This window comes from Homo sapiens, chromosome 5 (assembly GCF_000001405.40).
Source record: "Homo sapiens chromosome 5, GRCh38.p14 Primary Assembly".
Lineage (NCBI taxonomy): Eukaryota > Metazoa > Chordata > Mammalia > Primates > Hominidae > Homo > Homo sapiens.
In genome coordinates this window covers 156751679-156775252 of record NC_000005.10, presented here as the reverse complement: position 1 = coordinate 156775252, position 23574 = coordinate 156751679, and the positions used below count along the sequence as shown (strand labels likewise).

General features: G+C 38.6%; 1 protein-coding gene across 9 annotated transcripts in view; it reads right to left on the bottom strand.

The window, feature by feature from the left end:
- The window catches only part of SGCD (sarcoglycan delta), a 1039957-nt gene continuing 1023847 nt past the window's right edge, over positions 7465-23574 (bottom strand). For 7 of the 9 annotated variants that reach the window (XM_047417519.1, XM_047417518.1, XM_017009724.2 and 4 more), the window contains 2 exons: positions 17549-17672; positions 7465-16036 (listed from right to left, as the gene is read on the bottom strand). In XM_047417519.1, the coding sequence (XP_047273475.1) occupies positions 15863-16036; positions 17549-17672 (298 nt within the window). In that variant the 3' untranslated portion in view covers positions 7465-15862. Of the gene's footprint in view, positions 16037-17193; positions 17673-23574 lie in introns of those variants that run through there. The other 2 variants (NM_172244.3, XM_005265967.3) reach the window with 2 other exon arrangements.

Here is a 23574-nt window from a genome sequence, read left to right as displayed (position 1 = left end):
ATGTTGAGACAGGAGGAGTAGTTATGGGAGTTTGAGGAATGAAAGTGAATGAAAGGTAACAATGGTCAGAAAGGATGTCCAAGACCTGACTACATCAGTTATTACAGTCACAATTTATAGGCAGCTATCCCTTTCCAGTTGTGGTTAAATTTTCTTTGGTTTCTCTTCATGTCTCTTAAAAGGGGGAAGGGTTGGGGCCTTTCTCACCTAGCCCTTGCCTGAAATCCAGTAGGGGAGCTAAGCTCCTACCACCTTGTTGCCCAAACTTAGTTTAGATGTGTGGCTTGTCCTTTGATGTCAAATCTGTAGTAGAGCTTTGTAGCCATCACAGAGGCCAGCAGAACATTTTCAAAGGTTTTATTCTTCTGTGGAATAGAAGGAGAAGCAACCTTAAATCCCCAGGTATTCTCTGTGTTCAGAAGTCTTTTCAAATTTGACTCATTGGTAGACTTGAATAAAAGAACTGAAAATTACAAATTAAATAATTTTTAAAGCCAAGGTTAAAAATGATTTTTGTTCATCCATTTTATAAAATTAATGGTAATAAACTAACTCTACTTAGAAAAACAAAAATAAACAGCCTGATTCATATTAATGCCATCATTTAAAATGATCAGTGATCCTTATCCTTAAATATATATATTTTTTCACATAGCTTGCAAGGTACTGAAAGTTTGTGTTCCCCCCAAATTTGTATGTTGAAATCTAAGCCCCAATGTGGTGGTAGTAGGAAGTGGTGTCTTTGAGAAATGATTAAGTCATGTGGGTAGGGCCCTCGTGAATAGGATTAGTGCTCTTTTAAGTGGGACCACAGAGAAATCATTTGCTCTCTTTCTGCCATGGGAGGATACAATAAGTTGTCAGCCTGCTACCTGGATAGGGCCCTCACCAGAACGTGACCCTGATCTGTGACTTCCAGTCTCCAGAACTGTGAGAAATAAATTTGTGTTGCTTTTAAGCTACCTGTTCTTCAGTACTTTATTACAGGATATCAAACTGACTAAAACATAAATGTAATGATCTTTCATGTAATTCTAGGTATTTTAAACTTATTTAAACATGACATTTTTCCATGAGTTCCAAAATTACTTTAATATTTATTTCATTGATTGGGTGTACCATAATTTGTTTACTTATTGTTACTGTTGTTGGGGAAAAAAAGGAAAATTCCAATTTTTTTATACTGTGTTAAACAATTTTAGGTTTATGAATTTTTCTTCATGAGGATTATTTGTAGGGTCAAAGTATGTGCCACTAATTCCATTTTGTAGAAAAATAAAAGATACTAGTCTTTTTTGAAAATGTTTTATTATACAAATATTATAAACACAAAAATGATAAGAAATACCTACAATATCACCATCCAAATCAACTTGCTTCATCTTTCAGTTTCCCTAGCAGTCTTGATTCATGTGTGCACATCACTTTTACATATTTAACATCAAATTTTGCCATACTGAAATTAAATCCTCACAAATCTTTTTTAAAGGCAGCGTGATATTCCATAAATTTAAAATAACCATAATCTAGTTGGCCTTCTCCTTCGTCTGATTAGGAAGCATTGCTAAGTTTTCCCATCTTTAAATTCTGCTACAGTGCACACTGCTACTACTAACAACATTTTCCTATTTAAATATTGTTGCCCGGATGAATTTTGAAAATAGGTTTACTAGGTGAAGTTGTATAAACATTTTTATGACTATTTAAAAATACTGACCAATTACTTTCTGAAAGAATATACCAGTGCCCATTGCATCAGTGGGCAAATGTTTGTCTTACTGCATTTTGACAGGAAAGGTAGACAACTTCAAATAATGGGAGGAATTATTTTGAAGTTAATACTAAGCTCTGCCATTTGCTAGTAGAATTACTTTAGGCAAGTTTCTTAATTTCTTTGAGCACGATTTCTCTAAGACGGGGAAAATGCTGCCTACCTTACAGGTTCTTTTCAGGTCTAAACATATGGTATAAAACGGCCTTATTACGTTGCCCTCCATAAAGTCACTATTTAAACAGTCTGATAGGTTGAGGAAAAACAGCTCACTTAAATCCTATTGTTTTTTTCTGCAAGGGTATGACCATGGTTTCACCACATTTATTTGATAGATTTAACCACATTTTATTTGGTAGAGTCGAAGTTGGGTTTTTTACCATTCGTAAAATCATATTGCATCTTAAAATCAAGAAAATATTGTTTTTCTTGAAAAGTGGTTATTAATTGTGCTATCTTCCAGTGCTCTAGAATGGAAACAATGTACATTTTCACTTGTGTGCATTATGTGCTTATCTCCTTTGTTCATATATGTATTGATATCTTGATGGGTTAATAAGAATTAATTTGCATTAACTCATCAAAGTTCGTAATTTCTAACCATTTCTCCTATTTACTTGATTATTATTATTTAAGGTTCTCTTATTTGTGGGAGTGGGACGAGTGATGAAAGAACTTAAGAATTGCATATGGGCTGGGTGCCATGGCTCATGCCTGTAATCCCAGCATTTTGGGAGGTCAAGGCGGGCGAATCACCTGAAGTCAGGAGTTCAAGACCAGCCTGGCCAACATGATGAAACTCTATCTCTACTAAAAATACAATAGTTTAGCTGAGTGTGGTGGTACATGCCTGTAGCTTCAGCTACTCTCTCGAGAGGCTGAGGCTTGACAATTGCTTGAACCTGGGAGGTGGAGGTTGCATTGAGCCAAGATCCTTCCACTGCTCTCCAGCCTGGGCGACAGAGCGAGACTCTGTCTCAAAAAAAGAGAGAAAAGGAATTGCATATGCATGAATGTGCCAGTTTTTCCTTTTTGAGATTTTCCTTGTCATTCTTCCACAGATCCTAAGTAGGTTGTTATTCCATGGCCTATTATTTTGTCTTTTATTCACAGCTCATACTATGTTATAAGTGATCATTTTAGGTCCTTGTTTACCTCATTAGGCTCTGAGATATTTATTCAAGAGTAAAGAGAGTGTGTTATTTATTTATAAGGGAATAGGCATTCAATAGATGCCAGATGAACAAACATTTGACTCTGGTCCACTGGAGTTAATTTAAGGGGTGACTCTGAAGCCTCCTCAACCTCACCAAGGACGCTGCGGATCGGTTTTCCTAATAACAATCAAGTAATCACTACCTCTTCCCTTGGTTTGTAATGGTGTTCCAGCTATCAGCTTCCCTGGAGAACTATGTTCTCCTGGATCACTGCTTATTTCACACTTGCAACTGTTTGTTTCTTTGTGAGATTGCCCGTTTGTAAGCTGAGTACAGAGACCACCATCTTGTTCTTGCTCTCTGTCTTGGAGTGTTTAAGAATAAGCGGTAGATTGAACTGATAAATTGATAGATGATGAATTCTTATATTCACTTGAGTCTATTTCTGGGTTTTCTGGTCTCTTCAATTCAACGATTTCAGTTTAGACGCCTTGCACTCTGCTAGGCTTGAGTGATAAAATAGTGAGGAAGCCGTGCATCTGATCTTGAGCCGTATTCTAGTAGGCTAAACAGAAGAATGAATAGGTTGCTTCAGTACGATGTCAACCGTGATAGAGGTTGCCCTCTATCATGGTTGTCCAGTGTGCCCTCAAAGTACAGGGAAAGTTTTACTTGATCTATTAACGGAACAAGTCAGAGAAGCCTTCTTTTTTTTTTTTTGAGATAGAGTCTCGCTCTGTCGCCCAGGCTGGAGTGCAGTGGCGCGATCTGGGCTCACTGCAAGCTCCGCCTCCTGGGTTCACGCCATTCTCCTGCCTCAGCCTCCCGAGTAGCTGGGACTACAGGCGCCCGCCACGACGCCCGGCTAATTTTTTGTATTTTTAGTACAGACGGGGTTTCACCGTGTTAGCCAGGATGGTCTCAATCTCCTGACCTCGTGATCCACCCGCCTCGGCCTCCCAAAGTGCTGGGATTACTGGCGTGAGCCACAGCGCCGGGCCAGAGAAGCCTTCTTGAAGGGACATATCTCAGCAAAATCTTAGAAAGTGAGCAGGGGAAAGCCAGGCAAAGAAAGGTGAGGGGTATTTTCCAGGTAGGAAAATAGTATCAAATGCAATTGATCTATGTCTCTGATTTGGAAATGTTATTATCTTCATTATTGCTATTTTGTAATTTTTAGACAGTCTGTTAGATTTTTGTAATTCTAATGATTTTTCTTAGACAATATGTTTACCTTTTTTTTTTCTCTTTTATTTTGCCTGGTAAATTTTAGAATTATTTTGTTTACTTCTCAGAAAATTTCTGTTGAGATTTAAAAGTATTGGCATTTTGTTAAGTGTGAAAATTAACTTAAAGGAAAACAAGACAGTCTTTATCAATTTTAGCCTATACAGTTGAGAGTTGGTCTCTGTATTTAATATTTATCTCTCTCAAAATTTTAAAATTTTTATCTGGCCTAGGTTACAGCAGATCAATTATGGCAATTTTTTTCACATGTTAATTTACGAATGTATATAGGTATGTACATTATATATATATGTAATGTTATTTATGTCAGAAAAGGTATATTTTTGTAGAATTTCCTAAACAAAAATTGTTTCACTTTTGCTTATGAAACAAGCACTAATTTTTACTAATTTTACTAATTTTTACCAATTTTTATTATGGTTATTTTTTCAAAATTGTACATTTCATCAAGGTTTTCTATTTTTCTTACAAGGAATTATGTTGGTGTAACACATTTTTATTTTATGTGTTATTAAGCTTATTTTAATATTTTAAAAGATTTATCAGCAGTTTTGTTTTTTAGATTTTTAGTTTTTTTATGATGTAAAATCTAGAATTACTTATTCCATCTTAGTTTTGTTGATTTTTGTTCTTTTCTTGATTCTTCTGGAATCTTAGTTGAATGCTTTATTTATTCATTTCTCTATTGACAAGTTTAAATGCTCTTACTATGTCAAAGACTGCTTTGGCTAAATTTCATCATTTGTAGCATTTTTAACTGTTATTCTTTAAATAGGCTTGTTTCTTTCTCAAATCACCAGTTAGGGAAATGTTTTTAAATTCTTGGGATTTTATGTAAATATAAAATATATTGTCTGTTTTTACTTTCAGAGAATATAGTCTGAAAAGTTTAACGTTTTCATTTTGAGATGATATTTATTTCATTTATATGATTATTGACAAAAAGAAGTTTTTTTCTTTCCTGCCATGTGCAGAGAGGTGTTTGTGTGTGTGTTTATGAGTTAATTTTTTGCTTTGCCATATTGTAAGTTATAAGACAGGGGAGTAGTTAAAAATTTTCCCTTACAATTAAATTTGTCAAGCTCCTTCTGTTTATTTTTCAAAATTTTGGATTTTTGTTTTTGGTTACTTGCCTGCTCAGCACAGTGGTTTAATCATGTATAATCAATTAGACAGGGCATTTTATTATTATAAATTTGTTAATCTGAATCTCTCCTATACTTTTTGCCATAGTGTCTACTTTAAAATATTGATTTTCCTTTTACTTGTTTAATAGGTTAATTTTTTGCACCAAATGTTTTTAAATGCAATGTTTGACTTCATCTTCTAATAGATTAAAATCAATTATATACTCTTATAATTTCTACCCTTGATTTAATATCTATTATCCTAAATTTGGCTGTTCCAAATACTTACTTCCTATTAAAATATAATTTGGAAGATTCTATTCTCACATTTTATGTACCCATTTTAGATTCTAGTGTGAGTTGTCTGGAAAAATCTCACAAGTGTTTTTTAAATTTATGTTTAATTACTTCTGCCAGAGAGTCTTACAGCTTCATCCATCGTCTGTCCATTGATGGGTCATAAGGGTCTTTCTTGGGGGCTGTATATTGAGCCTCAGCTGCAAGAGTTCGGTGTTATCGAGAATAATTAACAATTGACATTCACAAATTAAAATTACCCTATCACTGGACTTAACTGGAGATGCTAATGCATACACATTGCTCACAAGTTTTTCTGAAATGCACTTGGCTTATTCCTTTACACTCTGATCCCTATTCCGACCCCTGCCCTACCCTGGGTTCTTTTCGTAGGGTAAAGTGAGCCATAGAATCTTATATCTCTTTTAAAGGGGTAATGATCAGAAGAAATCTCAAAAGTTGCTGATTTATACCTATTTGCTACTTTTTAAACCTTCCTTCCTTGGAAGACAAGGCAAAGAGCTTTTTTTAGCTTCCTGGTATTTTATCTGCTTTCTAATTTTGTTTCAACAATGATGTCAATTAGTTTGACATGTCAGTAACAGCCTTTCTGTCTCTTATTAGAGTTTATCTTTTTAGCTAAGATTCAGTGGTTTTTCTCACCAAGTCTCTTGAATTGTGATTTCATTACCTTTGATTTCGATTTTTGTTTGTTTGTTTGTTTGTTTTTTGGTAAATTTTTCCCAAACAGAAGCTACATAATAAAATTACTGCATCTTTGGAAATAAATTGTGCTCTGCCTGGGAATAATATTTTTATCAAATCCTTTTATCTTAGGAGTTCTGTAATGTTGCTTCAGTGATATTTGGAGTCAGGATGTAAGAAATAAGATGTGGCCTTAGATGAAAATCCAATTGGGAAAAGACATTGGTTCTGTCACATGTTAGATATGTAAAATTTGTTTAGATATTCTAGATAAGGAAATTACCTATCTACCTTATAATGTTGTGAAGATCAATTTAGATATATATTTGATTCTATATAAACTTTAGGAATGTATATAAGCATTTCTGGGGTCCCAGATAGGTAGGTAAATGGGTAAATCATAGTACAATGTAGGGTTATATAAGAAATTAGAACAAATGAGGGAATCAAGGAAGAATGACGAGGGCCACAGAGAGAAGATGATATGTGGATGAGATCATGAAGGATGATATCCTGGGGTGGGTGGTGCTGGATGGGAATAAATTCTAGGCAGATTCTAGCATGTCCACTGACCTGTCGTTGTGGAAGACCAGGAGAGATGAGATGCTCAAAATGAAGAATTAATTGTGGTGAGTGGATCCAAGTGGTTCTGCCACAATGCCTTCTCTCATCGATTGTCTCACCCATGGCCCCATCTAAGGGAGCATGAGGGATAAGCACCTGACTCAAAGATGGCTTATTTGTAGGCTAACCAGGAGCACTAAAGCAGCTTGGTTGTAAAGGTTTTACCTATTAGGAACCAATCTGGCTTGCTTCTTGAAAGACAGAGAAGGGAGCAGTGGAGAGGGCAGTAGTAAACTGTGGCCAGAGAAGCCTATGTAGGTCATTAGAAGAGAAATTGAGGATGGCTGTTCCCTTGACATGCTCCAAATCCTGGGGACTCCCAAATTCCAGGCCATGTTTTACCTTATAGTAAGCTCTCTTTTCATAAGGCAACCTGTGTGAATTTCTTCCCGAGAGTCAAAATGGCTTACCCAACTGATCAAAGGGATATGGAAGAGATGTTAATCTGAAAATTTATTCCTGAGGTAGAGTCAATAGGAGTGACTGATTTATTAGCTGTGAGAGAGGAATTCCCTAAAGAAGTGGACAAGGGTGCTTTCCTTCTTACCAATCATTATTTTTATTAATATATTTTACAAGACTGTGGTCGAAATAATATTAAATACAAATTTTTTATACAGAAAGTGTAATAAAGTTAAAATAGTTCCTTGTAATTCATAGCATTATTGAAATGCTTACAAAATTTTTGCATAGAGTGTGCAAGGATTGATGTTATTCAAAACAAAACTAAAAAGCTCTTCTTACATCACACCCAAAACCAGAGAAAAACCAAACCAAAAATAATCCAAAGGCTGAACTCAATTACTTTATGGGAATGGGTTTTTTTTTTTTTTTTTTTTCAAAATCTCCAAGCAAATGGGACTTCCATGACCTCACCATTTTGGTTAAGAACATCAGAATCCGGCTTCTTCAGAAGCGCATCTAGCCAGCATAATGATGGATAGCCTCTGCCTTTTCCTTCTAAAACACGACCTCCTTAAGAAGTATGTCTCAGCTTCTTCATAATCTCAAAAAGGGAGAAACCTGACTGGGGGAGGTGGTTGATACATGAAAAACTTTATTCCCTCCGTCACAGACTAGATAAAAATTAATTTTGTGTTCACTAAATTTAGATGTGCCGACACTTCCCTTTACTTTTCTAGAATCTTGCATCTCTTCCAGAGAGCTAGATTTCTGGCTCTGGTAAGGTTAGTCCTATGAGACCCTTTAATGGTATCTATTCCTGGCTTGCCATTTGGATGTCTTAAACCATTAAAAAGGAAATCCCTGACTGACTTACTGTAGAGTCGAGTCTTTTTCATTTTTGGCTCATCCTTTTACTAAGGTTTTGTGGTGGGTTGTTGAACCAGGAAAGCACTGGCACTGGGGCTGAGTCTTTTGGGTATGGTGAGGAGCTCTATCCACAATCCTGCCAGAGGACCAGATATGTGTTGTGGAAAAAGCACATCAGAGAGGGATGGACCCCAACCTCTTTGCTGCTGTGGCCCTCTAAGCTCTGGGTGAAGGCAGGTTGACAGCAGGGCTTTAACAAGGGCATTATGGTTTCTAATCTTTTTGCATGATCCCTGGCTGAGTTAATTCTTCAAAATGACTTTGTCTTTTTAACTCTTACAGATCAAACCCTGATCCCTTTGCTTAGAAGATGAAAGCATTCCAAAGAAACCAAGCTGTAAGGAACTTCAGATGCACTCATTTTCTCCCTTCCTAGTTGAAACACCACCAAACCTCATTGCTGAATCTAGGATGCCAGTGTAAAATACACAGGTTCAAAGTTAAAGGGTGCCACTTTAAAAATAAGAACTGGCAAATGAGTCTTATTTCCAACTCAGATAAATTGGTAGTAACGGCCTGAGTGCTCTGGGGAGGAGAATTCTGCACCTGGGGAAGGGTATGGCCCATTAATGATGGCTGCCAAGGTGTGAGGCCAAAGACATTACAGGACCAGAGTGGTCAGCTCAGCTCTGACATTGTATGCCTAATGCAGTCAGTGAGTCCCTGGTAGTTCTTTCTTATAGGGAAACAGAGACAATGATAGAAATGAGCTTCCCTCTATTTGATCGCTTCCTTGAGTTTTGCCACAAGTAAAGGTAAAGAAGAATACTGACCAAATAGTGTCAAAGATCAAAAGTAAGATATTTGTCTTTTGAAGGGAAGTATAAAGGAAAGAGATGTATGTGTGCAGAAATGCTGACTTGTTTAGCCACACACACAGATAACTGAGTATTACAATTTTTTCCTAAATGTGAGGCTAACAACCCAGGTATTTTCCGGTCTTTTTTTTTTTTTTTTAAGCTTGACCTAAGCATACACAGAAAAAATTAATATTTTTGTTGTTGTTCTAGATTCTATTATTCAGGCAGGCTTTCTATATTTTCCCCTTAGGTATCTATACTTTAGTATAGATGCTGTCACTGTGAGAGACTACAGAAAGCAGGGAAAATAGAAGTTCTATAGCTTCATCTACCAAGGAAGATCTAGTTTAAAACCTAGTAGGGGACATGTCCCAACAACTTGAAAATTAGTTTGACATGTGGTGACTTTATAGCATAGTGGTCAGGAGTTAAACCTACATTCCAGCTCTGCCATTTTCTAGGTAGTGGCTTTGGGCAAGTTTCTTAGCCACTATAAGCCTCAGTTTTCACATCCGAATATTGGAACTATATTAAAACCCAACTCAAAGGATTGTTTTGAGGATGAAATAGGAGAATGTATGTAAAATGTTTAGCACAGTGGCTAGCAATAGCTCAGTGAATATTAATAAATATTCTTAAAATTGAATAATAGAATACAACTCTTCCCATGTCTTCGGGTAGCTTCAGATCCAGGAAAATCTCTTACGTTTTGCAAGATTTTGTGGGGTGGTTCTTTTTGGGGAGAAGTTTCATAGATTGGCTCAGATTGTCAAAAGAATCTATGGCCCCCCAAAATGTTAGAACCCCATGAATTAGATGAATATGGGAACTAAAGAAACACTGTCTTCCTTGTTGACAAGTGTCGTCTTCCTGCCCTCAGACAATCCTTTGGCTACAAGTGTTCCCATGGAACCTAATAGACCAGTTTGGAGTTTCTCGTTTTATGAAATCCTGAGCTATCTCTGATTTCACCAAAAAACCCCAAATGTAGAAGTAGGATGTGAAGCCATTGGAAAGTGAGGGACTATTAGACAACTCTAGGCATGTGGGGTGGATTTTAAATCAAGCAGATGTTTTCTTTTCTCTTCTCGCAAAGAAGTCGGCCTCATATTTGTGTTATTAAGCTGACCTTAGCTAATGTTCAGTGATGAAGCCAAATTCACTCACTTACTAGTGAGGCTGTCCACATACTTAATGAGGCATTTGGAACCCCACTCTGGCTTCCTACTGCAACAGGTGGATTTAGACAGTAAACATGCTTCTCGATTACAGTGGCTGTTTCTTTGTTCTATTCCACCTGCATATCTCAAAATGGGTGATGATATTACTGCTTGCTGGGCTGAAGTTGAGGAGCAGCAGTGAGCACTGTTGTTGGAAGGTTTGAGACTGTTTATTGATGGATTTGATAGCATCATTAACACTGTATGATGACATCACACTTACTATTGCATCAAGGGCTCATGACATTCTTGCTCTTTCTCAAATAAGGATGCTCATTTCCTCCTATTCTGTCAATATCTACAAAAGGAAGGTAGGGGGAGAACCAAAGAAAACAGCATGTGTGAGCATGAGTTGCCCCAAAAAGGTTATTTTCTTTTACATGTATGCTCTAACAATACTCAAAAGGAGGACCTCCCACAAGTAATTATTTTCCCTTTGCCATTCAAACCTGCCTTGAGAAATTTCAGGGACTCCCTTATGAAGAAAGCTTTTAAGAACCATAGAAATCACATTGCTTTTGAAAGTGCGAGCGTGTGTGGTGTGCTGTGCTGGCTGAAGCAGCAGGCTTCAGACTGCTTTATCTCTTATCAGTGGTTTGGCTTTGTGCATGAGAAATTCAGAGGCAACTGTATAATTTTAAATTCCGATTACCACAAAGAAAGAGAGGCATCTGACATCCCAATGCCGTGGCTTTGACTATTTTAATGGAAATATGTTGGAACTAGGGGAACCTTCCACCACGGAGATAGTGATGAAAGACCACAAGAAAGACATTTTATCTTTGAGATAAAAGGCCTGTTTTCGAAGGTTGTTTCTTATATTATAACTTTTTCCCAACCTGCTACTAGGGCACTATGCAAATGTATCATTCCAGGAGCTGTTTCCTTATCCTTTTCATGCCTAAGATTTCTTGGGACAGGGGGAAGAGGGAGAACTGGTCTTGTTTAATGAAATTTTTGACCTTTCATAGAGCCTTGAAAAATCAGTATCAGGTGCTGGAATGGATCTATTTACCTTTTTGGTCCAAACTTCATACTACCTTTGGCCTTTATAAAATAAAGCAAGATACTCTGATCTAGCTGCTGCCAGTTTATTTCAACTGTTTCCAAATAAAAGGCTGAGGGATTCCCTTAAGTGACTTTGATTAGGGTCTGGTAAATGGGGGTCATTTACATTTAAAAAAAATTCCTTCCTCCCCACCATGATACTCATACTTCCAGAGTCATCCCTAGCTGATACTTTTTTTTTTTTAAGCGATATTGAGTATGAAACCCTGGATGAGCAAAAGGGATCTTGACCAAAGGGATAAATGTCTGATAGGAACCTGCCTTACCACACACAAGCAGAGATGTCAGAATATGTCTTTTCAAAATATGTTTTTGTTGTTGTTGTTATAGTTTTTTGCATTCCTTCTACACCAGAGAATGAAGACCCAGATTCTTAGAAATAAAGCCAAACTGGCATTCATCTGGTTTCTCACAGCATCAGTTTGATAAAAAGAATTTCACTGTATTTTTTTTGTCCCCATGTATTTTGCTTTTTCCAATACTTCCAATTATTTGTTGGTCTCACTAACTCTTCAAGCCTGGTGTGGCTGTAGGAACAGTAAGCACAGTGGCGGTGTTGATAACTGACGTGATGTGGGCTAAACAGACATGTTAAGTCAAAACTATTCTCTGGAGGACCATGGAATGGGCATCCCTCTAGACTATGGGAGGGTGAAGTGGAAAACTTTAATGAATATAGACAGCAGAAAGAGCCTACAGGAAACAGATTCTAAGGTTGAACCACAGGGTCCCCTACTTCACTCTCATTACACAATGATGCTGACCTGCAGAACCTGGTATGGTCTATCAATTAAGGGTCTTGGAGGATCATAACTTTCCTTTTCCATTAAGCTTCCACTAATCCCATCCTCCCTGTTCCCAGGCATCCTCTGAGCCTGTGTTTCTCTGGCAGGTGGATCAATTACTTCCACATGTCTTGGAAGGCAGGCTTTCCACATGTAACATAAGGAAGGGCTTCCTTCCTGAAAGACTTTGCCAAGTAACTATATTCCCAAACCTACACAGAAATGTAAGCTTACTCCCTGCTGTTTGGAAATGTGCTTTCTTTCCTGCTATATCCAATGCATACCACAAAAACCTCTAGGTCAGGGGTGAGGAAACTTTGCCTGTAAAGGACTAAATAGTAAGTAATCTATGCTTTGTGGGATACATAGTCTCTGACACAACTACTCCATCCTGCTGCTGTAGTGTAAAATCAGAAAACATGTAAATGAATGTATGTGGCTATGTGACAATAAAACTTTAACTACAGGAAAAGGTGGTAAGTCAGATTTGGTTTCCAGGTCATAGTTTGCCCACCTCTGCTCTAGGGTCAAACCTTAAGCAAACTTTGGTCTATAGTTGCTGGATATGCGATGAAAATTATCCAAAGAGAAAATGACCTAAAGGATGTTCAAAGCCAGTTCAAGTTTATCCCTTGGGTAACATAACAATTATAAAGCCACATGTCAGGCTTTTACCTAGGTAGATGTCACCATAAGGGCTTTTGAAAACCTCTGTGATACTCGAATAGTTTCCCAAGACTTCTATGACTTCTTGAGCAGATATCAAATAGAAGTAAATGTTGAACATATTTGGAAATCAGTTTTTAATTTGTAAAAATCTTCTGAACAATATTAACCTACTAGAACTTCTAGTATATTGAAGGTTCATTTGGATTCTTTGTTATGATACCAGCTGTTTAATATACCCAAAGGTGCGATTGTCTAGAAAATGTCATATATAAAGATTAGAAAGAATCTCATTTTTTAAAAAGTAGGCGTTAGTAGATTTTTAATGTAAAAGCTCCCCGCCGGCCCCCAAGAATTCAGGTAAAATTTTTTCTCTTGACCACTGACAAATATTCTAGTTTGAGGGTGTTGGGATAAAAAGATGTACATTGAGAAACTTATAATGCATACCAATTTCCAAAATCTGAACAAAATGCATAATTTAACCCATATCAAATTTCCTGCTTATTACTTTGTATACTGTGGTCACTTAGCATAAATGAAAAATTGAATGTTATGTCTGTTCCCAATAGGTACTTGATTTATATGGTTGATTGCTCTTATTTTTATTCTGTTTGTGATCTCACTACCCTTAGGATTAAATTTTGCATGTGGGATCACACCAGTCTCTTTTATTGGCATGAAACTTGTGGTGCTAATCTCATTCCTTCACGTGGTGATTAGAACAAAATCTAAGCAAAAACGTTCTGGGAACTTTTTGCTTTTTTGTCATCTAAAGATTAATGAACTTCAGATGGCAAAATGCAAAGACAGTCTACTTTAAAAAATCACCTGTCTTAACCTATCTAGCCACAAATGACTTTGTAGCTATCATTGTTTATCTGAATGATATGGGATAGGTGCTCCTAGTAGCCAAGGAGGGCGTTTCCTGGCTTGGAAAAACCCTGTATTGATACATACAGATTCTGGCAACATGGCCCTATGGAATATTAATTATACTGATCCAGCGTAATCTGATGTCTTTTATGGTTTTCCTTTTTAGACCTTAGTGCTACAAACCAACCAATCACGGGGTCTCACCCCTAAGAGTGACCAGCCCAACTCTTCTGCATGAGATATTGAACAAGAGTGCTTGGAGTGAGTCTGGGGTCTGGACGCCAGCAGCATCACTGGCCAGGCTAGGACCCACGCCGCTGTCCCCCACCATCTACTTCTAAGTAAGTGACTAAGCAACACACAGCTTGCTTTTACATCCCATGTGTGCAAATCTCAGCCTGATGCTTGAGTGTCATCTCAAAAAATATCAAATCTTTTATTTCTCTCCTATCACAAAACTTCCCTTGCTTGTAAAGTAAGAAAAAGTAAAACCTTGTTGAGGGAAAAGAAAAATCCAAATGCCACCCAGGCCTACAAATACTACTTCATTTAGGCTTGCAGGGCCACTACTTTCCAAATGGCATCCAGGACTGTCTAAGCCAGTGATGAGTTCATTCTGGGCTCTTTGAAATCCACATCATCTGCCAGCCATTTGGCTTGTCTATCAGCTTTTAAGATGTCCAGTCATAACTAAGTCATTCCCCTCCAATCACCCAAAGTAAACTATAGGTAACAAGATAAATAAGATGTGCTTCTCCTTGCTGAGTGCATTGACTTAAGGCATAGGCACATTTCCCCCTCTTTGAACAGAGATGGTGTAATCCCCTGTCCCAGCACAAGAGCTGGCCAGGGTGACCCTGGAGCATGATGATGAAGGTGGGGTGATGAGAGGTAGCTGATGGCGGGAATGAGGTGCTGCTTCCACATACAGGGAAGCAGGTACTGCTGGGCCTCAGGGGACACAGTGATTCTCATAAAGACACTCAGTTTGTATTATCTTTCAGTGCACAATTCTGGTGGCATGTAGTGCTTCTTAGAGAAAACACAATAGTGGCTTTAGGAATATGAATATCCCGGCACTGAAAAAATATATAAGAAGAACAAAGTCAGAGAGTTTGTGAATGCCTTTAAAAATAAAGGGCATGTTTTGACATTTCCCACCAATCCCAAGAAACATGGTAAACATAATTAGGTTCCTTATGCTACTCTTAATTAGACTTCCAGGCTTCTTTTGGGGTAGGAGTTCTGCTCTTAGGGATTTTGATTGACCTGATCATTGTGGGTTGAAATCTTTTGGTTAAAGTCAGAAGTGAGAACAGAACAGCTTTTAAGCCATTTTTCCCTTAAACAGAGACATATCACCCGTTTGTTCATTGCCCATCAGGCCATTAAGTAGCTTCCAGCTCACTGAGGAACAGCTGTTATCTTATTTTGTGCTGATTTACAGCTCCTAATTTGACTGTAGGAGAATCTGTGAGTTTGGAGGGAGCAAGATAGCAGAAGTTGGGTGAGCAGTTCAAAATTTGCTGAAATTCATCCTCCTCATTCATTCAACTACAAAAACCCCAATATGTCTGGTAGCCAAGGTAGGCCAGCCATTTTGAATTCCTACGGCTGACTTCTACAGCATTGCCAGTTCCTAGCTTGAAGAGGGGGAAGTTAGCCAGCCTTACTAAAGCTAAAACAGGAAATCAAATGCCTATTTTTGATACAAAGGTCTCAGAGCTTGAGTGCGACTGAGATTCCCGCCATCACTCCCTCGTAATGACACTAAAAGAGAAGATATGCTGCTACTCGAATATCTAGATGAAGATTCTGTCAGTGTTTAATACGCTGTGTGATTCTGAATGGTCTGGGGAATGTTGGGACGGATGTGTGTTTAGATTTCTGTCACTCAGGTGGTGGGGATGGGATGGAAAATGACAGTGGATATCGCAGGGTCACCCATGGTTCCTTTTGTACTGAAACCTCATTTTATACAGAGGATATATATATTTATTTATATATATTTATATATATTTATATCCACCCACACACGCGAACACACTCAAGCACGCACACACACGTACACATACACACAAGGTCTTTGATAGGCTTTCTGTGTTCTAGTAAAAATAGCTGGCAGCCAGTGTCTAAAGCCAAAAAAGGCCTTTATGCTGCCAACAATGTCCACTATGGATAGTCTTTCAGAGGCAGACACTTGTGTTTATCTGACAAGTGGACCCAGCTCCTGCCTGAGACAGGAATAATCTCCCATTGGCGCAGACGCAGATCTCGAAGACCTTCTGCCTCGTTCCTGTAGGCGTGTAGGATCCATGAGGCAGTCTAGGTAGCCTGATTTTCGCAGCATCTAACTTAATCTAAAGACAGAGAATAGGAAGGAAAGCATTGGTCAGAGGCTGTCGTCTCTTCTCTTGACATTCAGAAACAGCAAGTGAATGTTCAATTCAACTGAAATCTAATGAGCACCTACTATGTGTTGATTATTTTTGGTACTGGGGATTTGGATACCAACAAGATGGAAAGTCTCTACCTTCACAGAAGCTTAGATTCTAGCAAGATAATGCTGCATTGATCTATGTTAGCATTTTGCAAAAAAATGTCATACAGAATGTAAATAGAGTCCTAGAGTCAAATAAATGTGAAAATGTGACATTTAACAATTTTCTTTACTATGGGACTTCCCAGATCCTACTATGACTGTGTGCAAGGTGAGTGTTCAAGAAGAGAATAGAGTATGTAACATTTTCCAACTTTTAAATGCTAGTGAGCCTTTCTGCTTTTTTTTTTTCTAACAATTTATGGGGCTGATGGTCTATAGAATATACTTTGAGAAAAACATGCCTATAAAAATATGCCTATAAAAATAAGCAGTTGTGGAAGCTGCCATTAGATTTACGATTATAACTGATTCCTCCAGAGTTCAAATTCTGATAGCTATAAACTGCATATGTGAGGTAGCCACTATTTTTATATGTGTGTGGTTTGCAGTTTGTAGCTGCTTGAAGAGGCAGTTGTGATAACTGAATGTTCTGACTATCTCTTCTAAAACAAAATAGGAAATGCCATACCAATCAAAAGGGGGACTTTTATATCCATCGAGTGGATGTATAGAAGCAGGTAGAGACTGATAACCTCTCTCATTGAATAGTCAGGTGGAATAGCATTTTTCTTAAAAAAAAAAAAACACACAGATTTTTTAACTCTATGATTAAATAGCAAAGTTCACTTATGAGCACTTTGAAGGCATTTTTAAAAGTTTACAGACAAATCACATTTTGGGTGTGGGTAGTAATTGGCTTGTCTTGCTAGCAAAAACACAAGCAGCATTTCTGTTCACCCAGCTGGGACTGTGTTGGCATAAGAGAATGAATATCTGCAGTGTTTCATTCCCTTGCTGCCTAGTCTTACCCTATAAAGTTTTGGCTTGTTCTGGTTGGGACAGCTGTTCAATCTGCCTCCCCATTTTCAGTGAAAACAGAAACATGTGACACAAAGTAATGACAAGTAAATTAAGTTCATCTTGAGCCAGATGTGTATAATATATACAGCTTAATTATGTTGGCTAACAAAATCTTATTTTAAGGTGACAAGAGAGAATTTGAAAATAGCATTCATTTTCATGGTCATATAATTCTGTACTTGGAATACATGCCATTATCTCTGCATTTTACAAATAAGAAATCATCACTTTGATGGATTGTGGGTTTGGCTTATAATCATGCTGCTCAATTAATTGTTTCAGAAATAAAACCTGCTTGGCTCCTTTTGTTGATACACTGTAGGATCCAACTCCGAGGTCAACCAGTTATGGGAAGGGTTGGCCTGTTGAAGCTGTAGCTCTTTGAACTTCTGTCCTTCTCATCCCTCACCTCTCCATCTTTGGATTCCAGTCTCAGCTCTGTCCTGCAGGTGGCTTCCATATTGCCAGCTTCTGCATTGATTTCCACTCCTTTTGGGGCCTCCATCACTAGAGACCGGGTTGGGGACTCCAACCTGAAAAACACCCAAGATCGTCAATAAAGATCCCTTTTTCTTTTTAATAAATACAAAAGGAAGTTCATGCTCAAGGACATTAACAAAGCATTCCAGTATTTGATCAGAGAATTTTTTAAAGTTTTGCTTTACAACCTGGTCAAGTTTATGACAGGGAGCATAATAAGTCTAGGCTTTATCTTCATTGCATTTTACAAAGGCTGTAAGGAAAGTGTTCTAGGATCCTGGTTTCACTTGATCTTATATCCAAGTGTTGTTTTATTGGTATAATTAATCAAACTCATATAAGCTTTTTTTTTTTTTTTTTTTTTTTTTTTGTAAAAGTAAGTCAATCCCGGATCTAAACCGAGCTTCCTGGAATTGGTAGGTATCCTTTCTACTTTGTCCTGCTTCTGTATCTTCCATGGAGGCAGAATCAGATAGAGGTTAAAAAAATGGGTCTAGGAGTCTGACATGCTTGGAGTGAAGCCATGGGGTGGCCACTAAATGACCATGGGTAAGTCTTTCTTTACCTCCTCTTTCCTTTCTAAAATCTCTTAAAGCCTCAGTTTCCTCATCTATAAAGTGCTTCAAATAGTGCCTGACACAATAGAAATGCAAATATGTATTATATATTACTATTACTGCTGTTACTATTGTTACAATACCAACCAATCATAAGAAAGCCTCAGGCCTTAACCTTCAATGCAGCTGTCATTTCTGCACTGCAGAGAGGGTCAGTGGTTGCCAGGGGCTGGGAGGGGAGGTGGTCTGACTGCAAAGGGACAGCATAAGGAAAACATGTTTTGTGTGACGGAACTTGATTGCAGTGGTGGTTACAGGTCTCTATGTATTTGTGAAAACTTGCAGATGAGTGAATTTTATGGTATGTAAGATAAAAAATAAATCAAGAGAATCAGCCACATTCTATGCTAATTATGATGGCAAAACAGGATAATACTCCTTAGGAGGAAGCTTTTTGCCTAATTCATATAATGAGAAAAACATTAACTGAAACTCAACCATCCCCTAAATATTCTAATTTTATTTTTCTTTTTCTTAGAAACAGGGTCTCACCCTGTTGCTCAGGCTGGAGTGCAGTGGCACAATTATAGCTCACTGCCATTTCAAATTCCTGTGCTTAAGTGATCCTCTGGCCTCAGCCTCCTGAGTAGCTGGGTATGTGCCACCACGGGCAGCTAATTTTTAAATTTTTTGTAGAGATAGCGTCTTGCTATGTTTGCCCAGGCTGGTCTCAAATTCCTGGGCTCAAGTGATCTTCTCTCTTTGGCCTTTCAAAGTGCTGGGATTACAAGCGTGAACCATCATACCCAATTGATTTTAATACTATTACCAGATAGGAATGTATGAAGATCCTCCTCTCTGTTACAAAGAAAGTATCCTAACGTAGGAACGGAGACCTCAGCAATGGTTCTCAAAACACTCTGATCCAGACCAATTTCCTGAATTTAATTTCAGTGCTTCTAACTTTCAGACACCTTAAACATGTTAAAAAGGAACCTCATTCTCCTTGCCCACTATTGATTCTTTGTTCTGTTTTTGCCACTGCCTCTGAGTAGGGTAAAGCCTCTTGGGCCTCAGTAAGTGGCAAACAGAGCAAGCTGACCAGTAAGATCCACTACGGAGCAACCCCCAGCCACATTGCACAAATGCCAAGAGAGAGCTCATCCACATTTTTCAGGTCTAGGTTCCTGAGGATTGCTTCCAGGCAGCAGCCTTCTCCCTTGAATTGTCCCCCCCTACAATGACTCAACTAAAATCATCAAGAGAAGCAATAGTCCTGGAGTACTTACGAAAGGATTGGCCTGAGTTTCTATGTAAATAATTTTTTCTTCTGTGGTCTCACCCCTTTGGGTGTGGCAAAAATCCTCCACTCCCCACCTCCCCTCCTCTTAAGACCTTCACCAGGTTGTGCTGAACCAGGTGCAGTTCTGCCCATTATTGTGGTTCATCTCATTTGCATTTGGTTTGATAATGTCAGTGCAACAGGGAGAGGGACTCAGTAGCAGGACAACAGAAAGTGATGTCTGTGCAGTACGGCCTGGTCTAGAACCTTAATCCAACTAACTGGAGCTGCCCCTGTGCTCTTGACTCCCTCTCACTTTTGAGATATGAAGATGGTTTTTTTTGCCATTCTCTGTGTTTTCTCTCCTATACAGTCTGATTGATGCACACAGTTTATCCTAAGTTTTCTAACTGCTTCTGTTTCCACTAATGTCGATACCTTTCTCCTTGTAGGATGAGTTTGTGCTTTTACTATACTTCCTGCTCACCTCTTACCAGTGTCACTGCCATCATCCCCCTTGCCAAGGTGAGAGTCCTCCTGTCATCTTTTCTCTTTCTTCCTTCTTCCCTCAGTTAACACGTCTTTTAACTCAGAACTTCTCCGTTTTCAGAATCAAGCCATGGAGTGGCCACTAAATGACCATGGACAAATCTTTCTTCCTTTCCCTCCTCTTTTCTTCCTAAAATTTCTTAGAAGCATTCTCAAATGTGAGCATGAGAATCACCAGGAGGGGGTTATGAAAGGGTTGCCTGTAACCCGGACTATTGTAACTGTGTCTCAAGTTTTGTCTCTAGTTTTTCCTTTTTCCCAATGAACTTCACACAAAAATATATCTTCCCGAAATAAGTTTTGAATATGTTACTTATCAAAACTTGTAGAATATGTTCTACAATTTCCTTAGAAGAGATCTGAACTCCATTTAGAATTTGTTCTGATCTGTTTTGCTGGTCTTATTTCTTGCCTTAAACATCAGCTATGTGTTATTGGGGGGTTTGTTACTAGGTGGTGACACTGCTAATGTGTTATCTCATTTAATCCTCACCAAAACCTATCAATCTGGTGTTTCTATAGTCCTGATTATACAAACAAGGAATCTATGGTACAGTGACTTGCTCATGGTTATACTCCTAGTAAAATGGCAGAGCCAAGATTTGAATTCAATTTAGTGGACTCCAAAGCTAATATTTGTTTATACCATATTAGTTCCAGAATAACTGTATTTCTTTCCATCTATTGTATCTTTACCCCTATTTTCTGTAATCCTTTCTTCAAGAAGTTAATGCTTAAATTTCTAAAACCAATCTATGTAAACAATAGTGAGGTAATAGTAGTATATATGGCTGGGTGATGCATACTTCATGGTTATACAGTATTTCTTATAACTTATTTAAACGGTCTACTTCAGCAATATCAAATTTAGGATATTTGGAATGTGTTCAAACTTGGTACATAGAGTTCAAAGTGAATGATTCAATATAAACAGAATAGTTTGGTGAAAAAGAAAGCTTGAAATAGAAAAAAAGTATGGAGCTTACAGAGCTTTATCAGATGCAGGACTGGCATTTCAGACAGGCATTAGAATTCGCTTTATTCTTGCCCACTGCCTAGGCCTCTGAGATTAGCAGGAGGGACCCAGGCCGGAGAGGTAGACTCAGAAATGACTCCTGCCTTTCCCCACATCTCAGCCATGAAAGAACCAGGGTGGTGAGAAAGGGCACTACTCTGAAAGTGTCCTATTGTGAAAGGCTGCAACAAAATAGAGATGATGATTTCCTGGAAGCAGTGACAAAAAAGGTAACTGGCTTTCTGTTTTACAGCCCAGCTTAATGTCCTTTGATGTTCAAGCAGACTTAACAGAAGTTGTTCACACGCTAGTCTTTCCACTGAGATAAAGCTCCTTGATATGGTTTGGCTGTGTCCCACCCAAATCTCATCTTGAATTGTAGTTCCCATAATCCCCACGTGTCATGGGAGGGACTTGGTGGGAGGTAATTGAATCATGGGGGTGGTTACCCCCATGCTGTTCTCATGATGGTGAGTTCTCATGAGATCTGATGGTTTTATAAGAGGCTTTCCCCCTTCGCTTGGCACTTCTCCTTCCTGCCACCTTGTGAAGAAGGTTCCTTGCTTCCCCTTAACCTTCCACCATGATTGTAAGTTTCCTGAGGCCTCCCCAGCCATGGGGAACTGTGAATCAATTAAACATCTTTCCTTTATAAATTACCCAGCCTCGGGCAGTTCTTTATAGCAGTAATAAAATGGACTAGTACACTCCTACCAAAACCCTGTGGAAACTGCAGAGAGCATCACTCCTGAAGTGATGTCCGTCAACCTCTGCCCATAAATTAATGACCACAACACAATTGTTTAGATGGCATGTAGTAAGGAAAAATGGAAGGTTTCCTCCTGATGGGAGTGGCAGTTAAGGGTCCTGCTGACTCTTGGAAATGAACACTACTTCCATTAGGAGAAACTGCAACCCTCTCAGAGGAGAAAGAAGAGCCTCACTGAAGAGATGCAGAAAGGAGGAGTGGCCAGGAAGGGTGGGGGCCGGAGCTGGGCCGGGCCAGGCTGTGCCATATCTTCAAGAAGAATGGTTCTCAAATGTGAGCATCAGAATCACCTGGTGGGCTTGTGAAAACAGTGCTGGGTCCACCCCTAGAGTTACTGATTCAGTAAGTCTAGAGGGGTGCCCACACATCCACATTTGTAACAAGTTCCCAGGTGATGCTGATGCTGCTTGTTTCGGCGGGCCACACTTTGAGAAGCACGGCTCTAGTCCAAGGGTCATAAACTCAGGTGCCCCCACCAAGACTAAATAGGTGATGACAGTGAGTAACCCATGAGAAAGCTGTAAGTAAAATGACATTCCCAGAACAGTAACATGGTATGTGGCACTGGCCTAAATGTGAATGAGGCGATGGAGATGCTGTCTACGGGGACAGCTGCTCTTCTATCTAACCTGGCCAGTGGTTGCCAGGGCTTCTGATTTTAGTGTTTTCTAATTTAAAATGTTTTGAATTTTGATCTGAATTATTAAATTTTATGAATAGACACAAAATAATATAAAATTATAAATATGGTATAAAGAATGATAATGCTGGCCGGCACGGTAGCTCACGCCTGGAATCCCAGCACTTTGGGAGGCCAAGGCGGGTGGATCACCTGAGGTCAGGAGTTCGAGACCAGCCTGGCCAACATGGTGATAACCCCGTCTCTACTAAATGGAAAAAAATTAGCCGGGTGTGGTGGCAGGTGCCTGTAATCCCAGCTACTTGGGAAGCTGAGGCAAGAGAATTGCTTGAACCCGAGAGGCAGAGGTTGCAGTGAGCTGAGGTTGTGCCACTGCACTCTAGCCTGGGAGACAGAGCAAGACTCCATCTTGGGGGGGAAAAAAAGAAAGAATGACAATGGTTTTGTATAATTATCATCTTTTTTAAGAAAAAACAAATTTTGTAGCAACCTGAGCTCCTCTTCCTGATCCCTTCTATTTCCTTCCCCCCGGGAGTAACAACTATTAGGAATTTTGTGTTTGCTGTTTTCCTGCTTTTCTTTATGACTAAATTTGCATCCTTAAACAATACACTACTATTGCATACTTCACACGCAGAATAATTCCACTTTATAATTCTTTAATGACTTTTGTTTTCCCTCCTCAATATGATGTTTCTGAGGTTATTCTACATTTCAGCACATAGCTGTAATTTATTCCATTTCCCTAGTGTTACCATATACCATGATTTATTTGTCCATTCTACTGTCGAACACTGGGTTGGTTTTGGGTTTTTGTTTTTACAAATGGTGCAACCATGAACATTCTTGTGTGTGGCTCCTGATGCCTGAATGCAAAAGTCTCTTTCAGACTAATGTGGGAGAGTAGACTTGCTACTCCTAAGGATCTGCATATCTACAGCTTTATTAGATAATGGCAAATAGCTTTCCAAAGTGATTGCTCCAACTGACTTTCCCACTAGTGTATAATGTTCCAGTTGTTCACTTTCTTGCTGACATTTGATACAGCTAAGTATGAAATGACTGTGAAATGGGATGCCATTGTCTTTTAAAACTGCATTTACCTAATTATTAATGGAGTTAAGCATCTTGTCATTTGTAAGC